Below are 18,303 nucleotides of genomic sequence, written 5' to 3'. Positions count from 1 at the left end.
ACCTAGTCATAGTACAATGATCAAATTCAAGAAGTTAAACTTTGGTACAATAGTATTATCTAATTTACAGTCCATATTAAAATGTTTTCTGATTGTCCCAGCAGTGTCTTTATAGTGACTTTTTTCCCCAAACACAAGATCATGCATTGCATTTAGTTGTCATGTAAGTTTTGTTGCGTTTAGAACATGTCACTTCTGTCCAGAAATAGAGGTAGTCTTCTGACTCTTACCTCTCACAAGCTTTGTTGAAGAAAAAGGACATTAGGAATTTCAAAGAGGCTGCTTAAAAAAAAAAAGAGAGACTCTTTTGTTCTTAATTTTTACAACTTTGTCTGGGTTTTGGTTTCTTGACTCAGCAAAGTCTGTAATGCAGCCCTGCTTGGTAAGCATTAAAGGCGGTACTGAAGCTTTCCTTTATTTTATAATCCCAGTTGTTTTTTCTAGAAACCATCAATAGCGTCTAAATGACTGACTCAATTTTTGGATCCTATTCTCATGACTAAGCAAATGTTTGACTGAAACCAGCCCATATAAATGTCACTGTGCCTCTAACTCTCTGTAGCCATTCCTGAATTTCTTTCAGCACTGGGAAAACCAGTCTATGCACCAAAAATGTCTAAAACTGGAACCAAGGTAAGTAGTCATATTGATTTTTAGCCTACCCGCTTTTCACCTAATGATGCATTCAACACACAGAAAAGCTTTTGCTTCTTTGCCTAGAGGTGAGTATGATAGTGGTTAGAGAACTGGGATTGAGAGAGAAGATTAAGAAATGCTTATTATATTTTCCACCCTTAACAGAATTACCGAACACTTTATTAAGGGTTTATCTTTATGTATGGTGCTATGTTAAATACTATACAGGTAATTTATAAATATCATTATTATTTCTGCCTTCTAGCAACTAATATTCTATGCAACTGATATTCTCCATAGGAATAAGGCATGCTAATGGGGATTATATTGAGCAGAAAACTTTTAATAATCAATTAAAATTTTGTTTTCTGAAATTTAGCCTCAACCATTTGTGTTCTAAAAGGCCAAAGTGGATGGGCCAATCAGGTGAATAAAGTCCTACATCTCTCTTCCATTCAAGCAATTATTTTTACTCGTTCCTCAAATAAAGTGCTCCCTTACAGTCAGAAAATTGCCTCTAAAATATTTAACTCACAATTACTGGATTGGAAATTATTCTTTCAGGTAGGGCTTTGGGAATGAGGGAATATGCTTTCATTTTCTTTTTTGCGCTTCCACTGATGAGACAAAACTGCTGCCTGATTTTTACCCCCAGCTATTTGAAAATTTTCAAACCCATTGAATCCTCAAAGAATGGCAAAGAAATGTTGAATGAATATTTGTATATCTTTCACTTATATTCTCCAGTTGTTGACATTTTGCCATATTTGGTCTCTCCTATTTCCATCTCTCTTTATTAAACCATTTGAAAATTAGTAGCAGATTTTATTATACTTTTGCCTTAAGTATTTAGGCATGTATCTCCTAAAAACAAGGGCATTTCCCTGTATAAACACTGTATCACTAGCATGTCCCCAAGAGTTATCATAAATATAATAGCTAATATTGAGACCATATTCAAATCTCCCCTGATTGTCCCCAGAAAAGTGCTTCATGGTGGACTTTTCCCCTAATACAGGATCCAGTGAAAAACATGTATTGTAATTGGTTGTCATGTCTCTTTATTCTCTTTAGTTTTTTTTAGCCTCTCTAAAAATGTCCCTCTACCCTTTTTGTTGTTGTTCTTGAGACATTTTTCAAAGCCTAGGTTAGATGTCTTTTAGAAAGTCTTGCAATCTAGATTTGTCTAATTGTTTCCTCATGTTTAGATTCAGAATAAATATATTTGGCAAGAAAGCTACATAGGCAATGTTGTGTACTTCCTGTTGCATCAGGTCAGAAGGTACCTGTTAACTTGTTCTGTAATTTATTAGTGCTTGATTTTTTTTTCATTGGAAAATAGAACTAATAATCATGCTTGTCATTCAGGAGGTTTGGGGAGAAAAATTAGTGTCTTCAGTGCTCTGAGGTTCTTGAAAATATACCATGCAAATCCCACTAAAAAAGAATTTTTGGTCCTTAGAGGAGGGATATCCATGTATCTTGAGGTAAAGCTGTTCTACAACCATCTTAGATGAAAACATCTGCTTTTAAAGATTTGCAGAGTAGTAATAGTGTACTCTTTTTTATTTATAGATGAGTCGTTCATTTAGTTAAATAACTTTTGCTTGCTAGGGTAAAGGAGATAGTAAATTATTTCTTACTTTTTCTCATTGCTTCTTCCTTTCCCACTATCTTGATAGCAGTTTAATCAGAGGAGTTATGGGCTTGGCAAAAGGAATAGATTTTACTAAGTATGTTTTCATTACTTCTGGGATACTCAAGATATTTTTCTCTCTGCTGCATTGGATTAGTAGGCCATTTTTCCAAAAATAAACCTGATAATGATAGGAATTTTGTAATAATTTCTAGGAAAACTTTCTGCACATTTCTTTAGCCTTCTCTACAAAATATTTTGCCCAAAGGTCAAAACCTCTAGGCTGACAATAGCATGGATTTCATGGTTATTCTACAAAAAGAAATTGAGCACAGCTAGGTGCAACATTCTCTGGCTCTGAGATATAGAAGGTCTCCCACTGAAAGGAGAGCTTAGTCTTGGAGCTCAGTAATGATTCCATAGCAACAGGATGAGGGCTTTGTTTCAACTTTTGGATGGTTGGCTGGTCTCCTGGGAGGGTGGACATCAGGTGACCGTATCAGGCATCATGTATCTTTTTACTTAGCAGATATTGATAATTAGTCACGCAAATGTGCAGAAGGCAGTAAATGTGAGAAACTATGAAGTGAAATAGATGGTATTATTAACTTCATTTCCCATAGGATATCTTTTGCAAAGGCTCTTTTTAGTGACTTGTTTGGTCAAAAACCAAAGGCAAATAGAACATATGAATTAAGGAGTTTAGAATCTATCCATTCTTAGAGAAGTTATTTGACTTTCCTAAAGATCTCTCCACAGGTCATGAGGAAGAGCCCCTGAGGCTTAGGCCCAGCCTTGGTCATTGTCCAAGAGAGTAAGTGCTGCCATGTTAAACGAAGCTAACTGGGCAGGCAGAAAGACAGCAAAGGAAAATAAAGTGAACAATAGTTTACTCACCAGGAGTTTTGCACTGCAGCCCACCAGCTTGTCTGCAACTAACTTGTAACTAGGTAGTGACATTAGGCCAATCACTTAACTTCTTCATCTGTAAAAACTGTAGCAAAAGCTTATTGCTAATCATGAGTCAGCTATTCAACTAAGTACTTTATCAACATCCCCTTGGACCCTCAGAGCATACCGTCTGCAAGAGACACTATCATCCTGTTTTGCCAATGAAGAGCTGTAGAGAAAGGTTCATTGCCCTGTCCAAGGTCACGTAGCAAGAAAGCAGTAGTATTGAGACTTTTCTTTTTTTTCTTCATCCGTAAACTGAGGTACCATATATCTAAATCTGTACTGTGCTAAGATGGGAAGGGAACTGAAACACATAAAGAAATTTGGGCAGGGGATAAAGGAGAGGAAGTAGATGATTTAGGGGTGGGAAGGAAAAGGGACCCTTTTAGGGAACAGGAAAGAGAATAATTGAGATAAATGGGAAGGGAAGGGAAAGATTAAGGTGGAGGGAAACAATTATTAGTATATTAGTATCTAGATAGAAAGAACTACCCAGGATAGAGGAGAATGAGATTTTATAGCTTTTTATGAGTCATTCTTCGTTTCTTCCTCTCATTCCCTCCATCTAATTAGTCACCAAATCCTGAAGTTCTTTACTGTTTTCTCATCATCATTCACATTGGAGTTGCCTTTTGGTTGGCCCTCATCATCTCTCACCTGGCCCACAGCAGCCATCCGTTTCTAGGCACACACTACTAAGTCCAACTCACTCATAATCACCAAAGGGATTCCAGCATGATTCTGGTGTCATTTTTCTGGCTTTATTTTCTAGTACTTCACCACATATTCAATATGTACTGGACTTAATGAACTACTTATTGTCCCTATAATGGGCCATGTTCTTTCACTTTATTCTTTTAAACATGTTTGTTCCTTTTCATTTGCCTCTGGAAAACACCTACTTATCCTTCAATGCTCAGCTCAAAGATCCTCTCAAGACAGTATCCGGCTCTGCTCCTTTCATCTGAAATGACTCACATAGTTTTCGCCCGTGAAATCCATAAAGTAAATCAGCCACAAGGTGGCGGCATAATGCCAGGTAATTAACGGTTCGAAGCATGACACCTGTGGTTTCAGTTTATAACCTAGCATTGATCTGAAATTCCATCTTAAAAAAAAAAAAGATGAAAAGATTGTGGAATTATTGAATAACAAGGGACAAGCTCTGTAGCTCATTTGTAGTTTTCATCGTGGTTTTCAGGAACTGCTTGGTGAATCCTTGGGAGTTCCTAGGAACTCTGTCTCCTGTTTCAGCCAGAAAAGCTCTGAGAGTTGTTTTAAAGCCAGAACTTCCAGTCTGCTGTAGTCTTCAAATAGGAAGCTGAAGCTCAGAGAGGTGGCTGGATGAAGATAGTAAGGCTAATTGTAGAGAGGGAGCTCTGTAGTCCAGACTTACTGTTTCTGCTTTCACAGGGCTGCATATTTTTCAGTGCCATCAGAGACTTACCCCAGGCATTGTGGTAGAAACTTGATAAGCGTTGGAGGCAAAGAGGATTCTTATCATTTTGTTACTTTGCAACTACTCTGTTGGCAATAAACTAATAATAAAGAACATGATATGATACATTTTCATGTATGAAAGCTCTACATCTATCTAAAATAAGCTCTGTAAAGCTAAGGTTCATGCTTTATTTTTCTCTATGTATCCTCCATATCACCTAGGAGTCATCTTCATGAAACAATTATTGAAGTCAAGTGATGGGCACAGAGGATTGATAGCTCAAATAAGGCTTGGTACTTGCCCTTGGAAAAAGTATGCTAGGATTCTGGTGGGAGGGGTAGACATATAAATGGATAATTTATAATATGATGTAAGTACAGAGAGCTGTGGGAACATAAAGGAAGGAAAATGAACTTGAGTCTGAGACTGCTCACTTCTATTAGAGCCCTCTTCTGTTTTGCTTCATGTTCAGCCTTCAGGAAGAACTCATTTCTGTTGTTGACAACTGAAGTTGTCTGTCAGAAAGCAATGTTGTAAGGTGACGTACAGCTACATATTTTTCCTCAAAATTGAGGTGAAAGGAATTTCTAAAGTAGGCATTATGTTCTTAATTTTTATCTGTGAATTAAGCCACCCAGCTCCTCAGCTCTTTCTCTGTTGGCCCTCTACTTCAGATTACTTTCTATGAAGACAAAAATTTTCAAGGCCGTCGCTATGACTGTGATTGCGACTGTGCAGATTTCCACACATACCTAAGTCGCTGCAACTCCATTAAAGTGGAAGGAGGCACCTGGGCTGTTTATGAAAGGCCCAACTTTGCTGGGTACATGTACATCTTACCACAGGGAGAGTACCCTGAATACCAGCGTTGGATGGGCCTCAACGACCGCCTCAGCTCCTGCAGAGCTGTTCATCTGGTGAGTCTGGGGACTGTGTACTCCCTCTGTTTCCCACGCCCTCTGTCCGCTTTCTCTTGCTTTTAGGTGAACATTTTCTTGAGTCTTCTCTACCTCTTAATGAGTAGCTGCTTGTTGGCTGCTGAGGCTTGAGTAACATCTTAGAGCAGCTCATCACTAGAATGACTACACTAATTTCCAGGGTGCTGTCTCTGCCTCTTGAGTGTTTTGAAGAATTAATTTTTTCTTATTGAAAGTTAGCTGTTTTAGTCAGTACATGGTGAGATGGGAGTTCAGATCATCTAGCTTTCAAGGTGATAAGTTCTGAGCAATACTGTTCTCTAAGTTCTTGACCTGCTGGTGATTTCCATAATGGTTTCTGTTCATTTTCTCCTGTGTCTTTTCAGCCTAGTGGAGGCCAGTATAAGATTCAGATCTTTGAGAAAGGGGATTTTAGTGGTCAGATGTATGAAACCACCGAAGATTGCCCTTCCATCATGGAGCAATTTCACATGCGAGAGATCCACTCCTGTAAGGTGCTGGAGGGTGTCTGGATTTTCTATGAGCTACCCAACTACCGTGGCAGGCAGTACCTCCTGGACAAGAAGGAGTACCGGAAGCCCATCGATTGGGGTGCAGCCTCCCCAGCTGTCCAGTCTTTCCGCCGCATTGTGGAGTAATGACATGAATGGGGCCATATTCTTCCTGGGGCCCAAATGCTGGCTGGCCTTGTGGTCCAAATAGGCATCATCAATAAAACAGTTGGCATGCATCCCACTGCTGACTATAATGCCTCTCCTTAAATGCTTCTAGGGACCAGCAATACAGTGCTCGCCACAGTGGGCAGTCACACAAAGCTACCCATCTGCCAGATCACCAATCTAGATCTTTGTGCCAAACAAAATGAGATCTCATTAAAAGGTTAGAAAGTCATACTGACATGTGGTGGTTCCTTTAGCTTATGTTTTGCATTAATTCAACAGGCACAGTAATAATTGCTACCATTTATTGAGTGCCTACATTATTTCATTTTCTCCTTACAACCCTGTGAGAGGTAGTTTTTCGGTATTTTATAAATAAGGAAACTGAGAGAAATTTAAAATGTGCCCAAATTCACCAGTTGGTGGATGGAGGAGCCAGGATTCAGTCCAGGCTACTTCTGCTCCCAAAGTCATTGTTCTGCTTTCTAACACATACATTCAACACATTGGCTGGAGATCTGTGCATATAGTGTCTGTAGAAGCCCCTGAAAATTTTTAAAGGTAGAAAAGACGGGGTCCTCTGATGTTCCAGTTGAGGGGACAGAGTGTCTATCAAGAACAGCCAGTGAAAATAGGGTTATTATTTGAAAATGGTGGAGCCATAAGCCATCTGAAGTCCTTGTTTAAGATCTAAAGCCTGCTATGTTAGTTACTTCTCAATCCTAAGTTTAGATTTTTTGTGTAAAGAAAGGACATATTAAAAGTGTCCCTACATTATAATAGTTGAAATGGAGTTTTATCAAGTTTTACTTGCTTTGAGTAACCCCTGAGATTTTATTTAATCTTGAAGAGAAGAATGAAGAAGGAAACAGTATGGCCAGGAGTATTTAGTGAACATACAAGTGAACCTGGGGATATGCAGAATGCACCCATCTGTAAATGAGATAGCAAAGCCCCTGTCATCTAGGAGCCTTCCCCAAAAGGACAAATTAGAATTGCTAAATTTCCCTTGTGTATACTCTATAGTGCACAGTGCATACTCACCCCAAAATATGTTTATTCATGTTGTTATCTTCCCCTCCCTTTTGTCATTTTGTCTGTTTCAAGTGAGAGACTGAAAAAAGTGGGTGTAAGTAAGGGAGGGAAACCTGACAAATGGAGAAGGAATGGGAGGCCATTTGCTGAGCTGCAAAGAGCTCTGGCCTGTGAGCTGACTGCAGCCATCAGCTCTGGATCTTGCCACCATACCATGAAGCTACCTTTCCTTATCTCCAAAACAAGGGAGTTGAGCCAAATGCTCTCTGGAGTCTCATCCAACACAAACATTCTAATTCCCCAGACACCAGCAGGAGGACATTAAAAAACTAGCTGATGACCAAGGACTACTGACACTTACTTTTAGAGGCATAATTTCTGGAAGTGACCTCAGAAATCCACTGATTTTTTGCCAAAGAAATAGGCTGTGATAAGTAAGTTAGTATCAGTCTCTTTTCTCATATCAACTGCTTGCCATGTTCTTTGGTGAGTTGGTCACAGTCTGTTCAACTAGAAAAGCAGTTCTGGCAGCAGGGTAGGAAAACAAGAAGTGTCAGGATGACTAACCACAGTTTCAGAGAAGTAGAAGATGGCTTTTGACAGATAAAAGCAGGATTATTATTTTGGAGTGTTGCATGCCTCCTGGTTCATGCCTTGGTCCAGAAAGAGATTGCTATCATTTTCTCCAGTTGCAGACACACCAATCAACTTTCTGCTTAAAAGGAATTTGACTAACAATTGATATTAGAGGTCAAAAACACTTTATATCCTTATCTATCAGTCAGTCCCAGCTCTTTTGGTAGAACATTCAGCTGTTAGGACAAGAAGCTGGTGTCTTACCTGTCACCCACACCCAGAACAGCACCTGATAATTCAGTTATCTCCCCCTACCTTTTATTGTTTTATCGCTCTGAAATGGGGGATCTCAATAAAATAAAGCAAGGGCACCCTTAAACCATTTTAACCCTATTTCCATCACAAGAATTTCTCTAAGACAAGTCTCTGAATATTCCCATATATGGAGCTCACTGTCTATTGGGATAGAAAAATAAACATAAGTATGTCCCAAATGTTACATGGGACATACTTACACTAAGAAATTGTCATTTGTCTGAAATTCAAATTTAACTGTATCCTATATTTTTATTTGCTAAATCTGACAACCCTACTTCAAGGACAAGGCAAGTTACACAGGAGTGACATGGGGCTAAGAGCAGAGAGTGGTGCAAGCTGTGAAAATGAGCACATTCCCCAATAGAAGGGCATTTAAATACTTTTTTTTTTTTTTAAATCACTACACACCAACAAAATACATCTGCATCTGAATGTGGCTTGTGGACCACCAGTTTCCAATCTTGGCTGTAGGACAGCTCTGAATATCAGAAATTGTTTTTTAGATTGAGCCAAAATCTGATCCCTGAAGCTTTCAACCTGCAATCCTAGTTTTCATCCATAGGATATAGCTCTTTAGGTATTTAAAGATGCCTCCAGTTTGCTTCCATGCTGGCATTTCTACACTGAGCAATGCCTGTTTCTTTCATCCTTTCTCTCCTCATGTGTGGGCTCCCAGACTCCTCACCATCCTGGTGCCTCTCTTCGAGCTAATGGTCATTTCTCTCTCCCCACTGTCATAGCTGTATGTAGTCTGACCAGTGCAGACTACAGCTGGAGGATTATGTTCAGTTCTTTCATCTTTTTTCTCTGATCTATGCTGTTCTTAACTAAGCTCAGCTCTCCCTGTGGCCCAGCCCTGATATGGATGACTGGCTACCTTTCCCTAAGAGCCAACTCTCCAGTCAAAGGGCTAAAGAGTTCTCTTCCTCTTTGGGTAGTTAGACAGAAATGGATTCAAATTCTGCCACTTCCATATGTTAGCTCTAAGTCACATAATCTAACATGTATATCCTCAATTTTCTGTGAAACTAACATAACACCTAATCTGTGGGCATTAAAATGAGATAATATGTGAAAAATATGTAGCATATACAGTTAATTCTCATTATTTTCTGTAATTATACTCCATAAAAATACCTCAAACACTGAATTGCAAATATTGAATTATTGCTCTTAGATAAAATACTAGGTTAAGTTCCTGTAAGCCTCTGGTCACATTTTTGTCAACTGATCAATGCATAAACTTTTTTCATATGTGTTTCTCTTTAAAGACTCTTGAATATATGTTGTGGATTCATTAACATGGAGCTCAGGACCAGCAGCACTCTAACTGCTGCCTGAAGAAAGATGATCTAACAGGTATCTCAGTAAGGCACGTCGCAGCCTTCTCATGCTTAGGAACACTAGACAGCCCTTCAGCACTACATTTGGGGATGTTTTCAACAGTGAAATTACCAACGAAGAACAGTGCAATGCGGAAAGCATGACACTAAATGGGTTGAAAGGAGACTTGTTTACAGTATGGGAGCTGAAACAAGAAGGGGGAGCATTTGTTCGACCTTAGCTGGGAATATACTCATTGGATGACTCAAATTTTTCACTGCTCTGCTCATATCCATAAATGATCACAAGAGCACCACGATTAGTGATTTTGCGATTACAATGAAATTGGAGGGAGTGGGTGAATTTGCAAGTATGAAATCTATGTTATAATGAGGGTCACCAGTTCTTTACCACCATGGTTGTCATATTAGTACTGTTTCTGAGTAGTAAAGTACTGCTATTATCAGTTTTGTGTGTGTGTGTGTGTGTGTGTGTGTGTGTGTGTGTGTGTTTTAACTTGTCTAGCTTTTTAAATCCCTGTTTCTACCCCCTAGTTGTTTTCAGAAAAGCATTTCTGCATTTTTGGCAGATGCCTCATAATTGGGAAGAAATATATCAGAATGGTCCAACCCATCCTACTACCTTGAAAAAGAGCCATATTTTTGTTATCACGGGAGTTCAGCCTTTTCTTAGCTCTCCCATAAGCTTCTCCCTTGGTTCTAGCTCCCTTGGTTCTAGCTCCCAGCAATTTCCACAGCCAGCAGAATTGTCCCTAGAGTTCACGCAAGTCTCCCTTATTTTTGTCTCTCTTCTCTGAGGTTCCTCAGGAGACAGAGGGCAGCTAATCACTGAGCTTTGGGTGACCAGCTTCTGGCACACACAGGAGAGGAGAATCCCTCATGGGCGTGACTTCAGAGCAAGGGAAACTTTTCTGTCCACAGACACCTCACACCTTTACCTCTTCCTTCAAGCCTCAAACTTCAAAGTCAGGCAATTTTAGAACAGGAGAGGCTGGGGCTTCCCCATATACTGTAAAAACAGTGAGATTGGGGCTTACTAACCCCAGTTTACAGATGAGGAACTGGGGCTCAACGAGGCTAAACAACTTGTCTGAGGTCATTGGTTCCAAAGCTCTCATTCTTTCCACTGTACCGTGCAACTTCTGCTTCTCAACTTTCAAGACGGAACCATGGTAACTTGTCTATCATAGAATGAGCTATTTCTTTTTAAATAACTTTATTGAGATGTAATTCACATGTCGTAAATCCACCTGTTTAAAGCATACAATACAGTGGTTTTTAGTATCCTTACCGTTGTCTGTATGCAATCATGACCACAGGCAATTTTAAAACATATTCCTCACCTCAAAAAGAAACCCAGTACCCTTTAGGGATCACTGCCTTATCTATCTCCCCAGCCCCTCAGTCCTGAAGAACTACTTTCTGTAGATGTCCGAGTCTATTTTCTGTATGTATGTATTTGCCTATTCTGGACCTTTTATGTCAATGAAATGATAAAACACGTGGTCTTTTGTGACTGGCTGCTTTCACTTAGCAAAATGTTTTCAAGGTTCACAGATATTGTGGCCTATGTTGTTGCTTCATTTCTTTTTGTGACCAAATAATATTCCATTGTATGGAAATTCCACATTTTGTTTATCCATTTATCAGTAGATAGACATTTGTGCTGTTTTCACCTTTTGGCTATTTTGTTTTTTTTTTTTTTTAAACAGAGACAGGGTCCCACTCTTTTGCCCAGGCTGGAGTGCAGTGGCATGATCATGGCACCCTGCAGCCTTGAAATCCTGGCCTCAAGCAATCCTCCTGCCTTGGCCTCCCAAAGTGCTGGGATTACAGGTATGAGCCACTGTGCCCGGACTGTGTATAAGTTTTTATGTGGAGATGTATTTTCATTTATCTTGGGTATATACCTAGAAGTATAATTGCTGGGCACCTGAGCTATTTATTAAATGCTGGAAGCCTGCAGGGCCTTAAAGACAATACAGACCTAGGTCGAATTCTACCTCTCCCACTTTCTAGTTGCAGGATTTGGGCAAACATACTTCTCTTAGTCTTAGATTTCTCATATGTAAAATAGAGGTAGTTATAACTACTTTGCAGCGTTAGATGAGATAATAAGAGAAAAGTCCTTAGCCCGGTGAATGACCCAAAGGAGCAGGTCCTGAATAAAGGCAGCTGTTTTAAAATATGGAATCTCTGGAAGGAGGAGACCTAAGAGGAGTCCCTTGTGGTAAACAGATTGGGAACTAGAGGGCTGTTTGTTTCTCCAACCCCTCTCTGCGTTAATAATCAATGATTTTATGAGATCATTTCTGGGAGTAAGTGGAGGGGAGGAGGTTGGGGAGGGGAGGGGAGGGGAGGTAGTGGTAGGGAGTACAGGAGAGCCAGAGAGCTCTGTGCAGCTGAGGGGGGTAGCTGATTGCACAGAAAGGGGAAGTTAATCTCCTCACTCTATTTCTGCCAGGCCTGTGCTGCCCACTTGGTCTTATCTCACCTAAATGATCTCATTTCCTTTCACTTTGGTCCTGTTTCCCCAGCACCAGTGTGCCCCTTTGTGAGTCTCAGGACCCTGGTTGAGTGGTTCTGGAATTGATTAGCTTTCAGGGGAAATACTGCCAGCACTTTGCCTTCTGGGACACAGCAGGCAGAGATTTATTCCTATTGTTCATGCCCCCACCCCCCTGAACAGGCCACATTAGCCTGTCCATTGAACCGTGGGGCCAGAACAATGGTGGGGCCTGGCTGTAGTGCTGACCTCCACAATTTCTGGGTACACACTGGATGGTTTGCTTGAGCTCACAGTGAACCTGGTGACCCTGGCTAGGCTAGTACTCCAGGATCCAGCACTCAGGACAGAAAGATGAATCTTTAGACTGTTTCTGTGAGCAGGGGGAGAGGAAAGGATGAAAGAAGGGGGAAGAGGGTTACCTGCAAGTTAGTTATAAATTAGAACCACTCATAAGCTTTTGGGGCCTCCCTAAAGGCCAGAGGTGCTAGCAGTTGTGAGGGAGTCACATTTACCTGCCACACTCACTGTGTCTTGCAGCCACTTAGCAGCAGCTCATATTTGCACATACTATTTCAGAGTTTGTAAGGCTCTTTGACATACGATACCTCATTTGACCCTCACCATGATTATGTGAGAAACAGGAGATAATTATCATTATTCCCATCTTACTCATGAATAAATTGAATCACAGAAAAGGCTCTGTGACTTTCAGGTGGATTACAGACTTTCTAGACCCCCATATTTAAGACCAGCCTGTTGGTGTGATGGGGGTTCATGCCAAAAGTCTTCTCTGTGATGTGACAATTTCAAGAAAGCCATTTTCCTCACACAAGTTTAAGGCATGCTTTCAGTGGACCCTATGGTTTCAAGTAATGTTAGTGAAATACAAGTGGGAAGTGGAGTGCTAGAGTTGGGGGAAAGTGTGAATGTCTATGAGTATGCACCTGGAAGACAAATAGAAATGTATTTATCCAGAAAATGTGCCACATATACTCCATGGAATACTATGCAGCCATAAAAAAGAATGAGTTCATGTCCTTTGCAGGGACACGGATGCAGCCGGAAGCCATCATTCTCAGCAAACTAACACAGAAACAGAAAACCAAACACCACCTGTTCTCACTCATAAGTGGGAGTTGAACAATGAGAACACATGAACACATGGAGGGGAACATCACACACTGGGGCCTGTCGTGGAGTGGGGGGCAAGCAGAGGGAGAGCATTAGGATAAATACCTAATGCATATGAGGCCTAAAACCTAGATGACAGGTTGATGGGTGCAGCAAACCACCATGGCACATGTATACCTATGTAACAAATCTGCATGTTCTGCATATGTATCCCAGAACTTAAAGTTAGATTAAAAAAATAATAAATGTATTTATCCATGGTTTTGCTGATCTTTTGCCCTCCTGCCCTCCATTTCTCTGGTTTCTGTCTGGGTCCTGCCATAGTGGAAGGATGAATTTGGCAGATCTGCAGAGCACAATGGAGGTTCGGGGCATACTCTTCAGGCACCTTTCCTTTTAAGCAAATCTAATCAGGAAAAATTTCAAATTTGCACAACCAGTAGATTAGGGGAAAATATTCACTTTTAAATGACCATGGGACTGTTTTTAAAATGTACACTCAAAATTTCAACAAAAATTCAGTGTTCATAGAATGTCTGTTATCAAATAGTTGTGTGTTAAATGAGAGAAAAATCCATAGGATGTTAAAAGTTGACCTATGCCTAGATTTATCAAAGCAGATTCTCTCAGGCAGTGACATTCTCACACTGTCCTTAGGCCCTGGGAAGAGGAGCCCTTCTCTGCCTTGGGGAGGTTCCTACATATCTCAAAATCTACAATAAAAAAACACTTTCTGTCTTTCCTGTCTAAATCTTTCTGTCTCTCTCTGTCTGGTTTGGTAACCAGTTGGGCGAAGGGAAATTATGGGAGAGGGCAATGGGCTGGAATACACTCTGTAGACTAGGGGATACGGATCTGAATGCTCAAGTAGGGAGGTGGGTGAAAGGAGAAAATCACAGCCTCTTCTCTGGGAAACTAGAGAAAGAGGGTCTGATTGATTGATCAATTGCTTACTAATTACTTATTTGAGGGGTTTGCTTTATTAAGGTATCATTTGCAAACTATAAAATTCACCCTTTTTAAGTGTTTGGTTTGCTGACTTTTGACAAATGCATACAATTGGCTAACTACCAACACAATCAAAACATAGGACATTTTCATCACCCAATTAAACTCCCTATGTCCCTTTGCAGTTAATCTCTGTCCCTGCCCCCTCACTTCCTGCTGTGGAATCACTGATCTGTTTCCTCTCCCCATAGCTTGCCTTTAATGTCATGTAAATGGAATCATGCAGTATGTAGACTTCTGTGTCTAACTTCTTTCATTTAGAATAATGCTCTTTAGATACATCTATGTTGTTGCATGCACAGTGGTTTGTTCTTTTTTATTAGAGTATTATTCTACTGTATGTAGACATTCTACTGTACGTATGGATGTATCCCATTGTTTTTTCTTTTCTTTTCTTTCTTTTTTTTTTTTTTTTTTTTTTTTTGAGGCGGAGTTTCGCCCTTGTTGCCCAGGCTGGAATGTGATGGCGTGATCTTGGCTCACCGCAACCTCCACCTCCTGGGTTCAAGCAATTCTCCTGCCTCAGCCTCCCGAGTAGCTGAGACTACAGGCATGCATCACCATGCCCGGCTAATTTTGTATTTTTAGTAGAGATGGGGTTTCTCCATGTTGGTCAGGCTGGTTCCATTATGTTTTACCATTCACTAGTTAAAGGACATTGAGTTGTTTCCAGAAAGGCTACTATGGTTTATAGTTGCTTCAAACCACCCAAAGTGGGTGTATAGCCAGGCTAGTTTCCCCAAGATAACTGTGCTCTTTCCCCTCTCTCTGCTCCAGTGATGGAGTTTTGGCAGGTCCTTAGAAATACCTGGAAATCCTGAGTTGAGAAAATGACAAGTGAAACCTATTTGCCTTGGCTTCCTGGGGATCTTGATTGTGTTAGTTTCTATCCTGGGTTCAGAAGGTCATCAGCTGGGAGTCCTGGAATCCACGTCCGGCTTTAGCGCCATCTTGTCCCAGCAGATCTGAGCTACTCCCAGGTTCACAGTTAGCAGGGGTGGCCTAGGGGAGGGCTTGGCTCCTTTTGCCTCTGGGTTGCAAGCTAGGAATGCAGACTGGCACTAGGAATAGCTTAATTTACAGATTCTAAATGTTTAGACGTCGCGTATGTGGGCGTCCGTTTGTATTCTTGCTCCAGGTCTGCAAATGTTAGGGAGGACCTGTTCCTGGCCGTAACTGGGGAGGACATCTCACAGTTTCTTCCTACACTCCTGTAACCAAATTACTCCATCAGGCACCAGTGGCCCTCTGGTGGTTCAGAGGAATAAATTCTTTACTAGAAGTACCTGCTTTGCTCCCAGGGTGTAGCTTCTGTGCTGGGAGAATCTTACCTCATTATTCCATCTGGTCCCCTGACTGACAGCAGCTGTCAGGGCAGGAGAAAACAACCCGTGCTTGGCAGTCCTCCTCTATGTCCCCAGTCAGCTTCCTCACCCACTCTCAGCAGCAGCTGCTTCCTCCTCACTCTCCCCAAGTCCCCCCCATCACATGGCCTGGCCTCCACAGATACCTCCACCTTCTACTTAGTAGAGAAAAGAAAGACGTTTGTTCAGCTTCCTCCCCACTGCAGCACATTTCTTCCTGTCTTGAATATATCAGGGTTCCCTGACATTTTGTTCTTGGTCCTCTTCACGCTTGACTCTCTCATGGATTTAGCTTTCCTCTCTTCCTACATATGACTTCCAAATCTACCTCTCCTGACTCATTCTCTCTTAGCTTCAAGATCCAGCCATCATCCTGTCCTTATCCTCTCTTCTCTCATATCCAGCTGGTTAGAAAATCCTGTCCAATCCACCCTCTGTGGATTTCTCAAAGCCATCCTCCATCCTCTGCCTCTCTGCCTTGTGCCTCTGCACACGTACTTGGTGTGTCCTCCCACAGGTCTCACAGCCTTCTCTGTCACTCCTCAAAAATCAAGAACCTCACTGCCTTCAGAGCATTCTTTCTACAACACAGTCATGAGTGTGTCAAATCCTTAATTTAAACCCTTCTAATCCTCTGGGTTCCAAGTGTTTGCCAAACAAAATCCCAACTTCCTGGACCATGACATATGTACTTCATGACACAGTACACAGAGGCATCCAGCAGGCATGAGGGGTGATATGGTTTGGCTGTGTCCCCACCCAAATCTCATCTTGAATTCCCATGTGTTGTGGGAGGGACCCGGTGGGAGGTTAATTGAATCATGGGGGTGGGTCTTTCCCAGGCTGTTCTCGTGATAGTAAGTCTTGTGAGATCTGATGGTTATTATAAGGGAGAGTTTTCCTGCACAAGCTCTCTTTCTTTGCTTGGTGCCATCCATGTAAGGCATGACTTGCTCCTCCTTGCCTTCTGCCATGATTGTGAGGCTTCCCCAGCCACATGGAACTGTAATTCCAGTTAAACCTCTTTCTTTTGTAAATTGCCCAGTCTAGGGTATGTCATTATCAGCAGCATGAAAACAGACTAATGCAAGGGGCTGCAGCGCCGCTGGAGGAAGGGGCTTGGGAAAGCCTAAGGCCTGCAGAGGGGCCCCTTAATTCCACCTGGCACAAAGGTTCATAGCTCTCCACTCCCCCAGTACCCTGACTCCCACCTCCGATCGAATATACTTGCAGTGAATCACATAATTTTCCAAGGGTGTCATGCTGTTTTCCACTGGGAATAACCCTCCCTACATTTTTTTTTTTTCTGTGAGTCTTCTCCTTATCATTTTTAACAGCTTAGATGTCCCCTCAGGGGCTTCTCTGACAACATACCTCTCTTCAGTGCTCCTGTGACACTCCAGCTTCACCGCTTCTCAGTCCATAGTATCCAGAGTAGTTGTTTCTCATCTCCTTTAGATTGTGAGCTCCTTGAGGTCAAGGACTGTGTCTTTTGCCCACATATCACCGGGGTAAATGTTTGTTGTTAAATGGGCATTTATCATGCACTTACTATGTGTCAGGTTATTTGTGTACTGTTGCCAGTACTGATACATTAGGAATTTAAAGAAACAAGAGTCCTCTTGAAGACCTAAAGTTATCAAGTATCCTTATCAAGGATATAGCAGAGATCCTCAAAGTCATCTTAATAAGACAGATAGGCTCCCCATCCTTCCAGTTTTACTGTATCCTGATTGGAAGCAAAAAATGTCTTATATGCAGAAACAAGTCAAAAAACAGAAGGGGCATGGCCAGCCACAGAATATAAGAAAAGTTGAGTCCTGGGGACCAAGGTTGGATGAGTAGGTGGGTATGTCCAGGTGTTGTTCCTGAAAGAGGAAGCCTTGGCTAGTGCCTTTAGATGTCGCTGTCCCTTGGGCAGGAGCAAGCAGGACACTCACCTACTGCTGATGGACTCAAGCTTCTAGCTGTCAGACACTTGAGTCCTCTAATATCCCTCATCCTGCTCCATGTTTCTCAGGCAAACCTCTGATTCTGACTTGGCTTTCAAGTAATGTGACTGCTATTAGTCATAAGGGTTCATTTCCTATGATAGTTATTCCTCTTTGTAAGTTACAAACTTGGATGCACCCACCCATCTTCACTGTGCTGACCGAAGCTGGTTTCTGGACTCAAGGCTAGGTGAGCCTTTTGAAATGTGAACTCAGATCATTTGCCCACTTTAAATTCAGATTATTAGATTTTTTTTTTCCTATTGAGTTGAGTTCCTTATATATTCTGGTTATTAATCCCTTGTCAGATGGGTAGTTTGCAAATATATTCTCCCATTCTGTGGGTTGTCTCTTTACTTTCTTGATTGTTTCCTTTTGTCAAGACTCATAAGCCCATTCAATTTTTGCAGCAATTCTCAGCCAATGCATGGGGATGGCCAGAAATGCTGGGAAGTTAATGCTTCTGGGATCATTCCTGACCAATGATGGGTGGAAGTTGGAAGATAATATGCCCATTTCTTCACCCCTCAGGTGGGGCAACCCTGAGGCATGTTCCACACTGTCTCCCAGAGATCCACAGTGGAGCTGAGCTCCACAGACTTGTCACCTGCTCCGTGACAAACTTTCACTGGTTTTCTTCTCATTCCTGTCTCACTTTCCCACTCTCTGACCAGGGCTTCCTGGGGTCACCTCCCAAATACCTTACCTCTACTCAAATCCTTGTTTTTGGTTTTAGTGGAACACAGCCTAACACATCCTGTAAG

At 41.5% G+C, this 18,303-nt stretch overlaps 1 protein-coding gene across 1 annotated transcript, besides 2 other annotated features; it reads left to right on the top strand.

The window, feature by feature from the left end:
• CRYGS (crystallin gamma S) lies at positions 559-6,496 on the top strand. The gene is made up of 3 exons (NM_017541.4): positions 559-633; positions 5,342-5,584; positions 5,971-6,496. Exons 1-3 carry the CDS (start codon positions 613-615, stop codon positions 6,241-6,243), a joined length of 537 nt encoding a protein of 178 aa, NP_060011.1. The 5' UTR covers positions 559-612; the 3' UTR covers positions 6,244-6,496.
• Positions 10,808-10,877: an enhancer, noted in NCBI's record as "active region_20942". NCBI's record gives its function as "activates an Ori minimal core promoter by ATAC-STARR-seq in GM12878 lymphoblastoid cells {active_cell/tissue: GM12878}" and the evidence as "EXISTENCE:reporter gene assay evidence [ECO:0000049][PMID:35858748]".
• Positions 11,844-11,903: a silencer, noted in NCBI's record as "silent region_14985". NCBI's record gives its function as "represses an Ori minimal core promoter by ATAC-STARR-seq in GM12878 lymphoblastoid cells {active_cell/tissue: GM12878}" and the evidence as "EXISTENCE:reporter gene assay evidence [ECO:0000049][PMID:35858748]".

Source organism: Homo sapiens, chromosome 3 (assembly GCF_000001405.40).
Source record: "Homo sapiens chromosome 3, GRCh38.p14 Primary Assembly".
NCBI classification, from domain to species: domain Eukaryota; kingdom Metazoa; phylum Chordata; class Mammalia; order Primates; family Hominidae; genus Homo; species Homo sapiens.
Note: the sequence above shows the minus strand (reverse complement) of the source record. Positions and strands in the feature narration are given on the sequence as shown.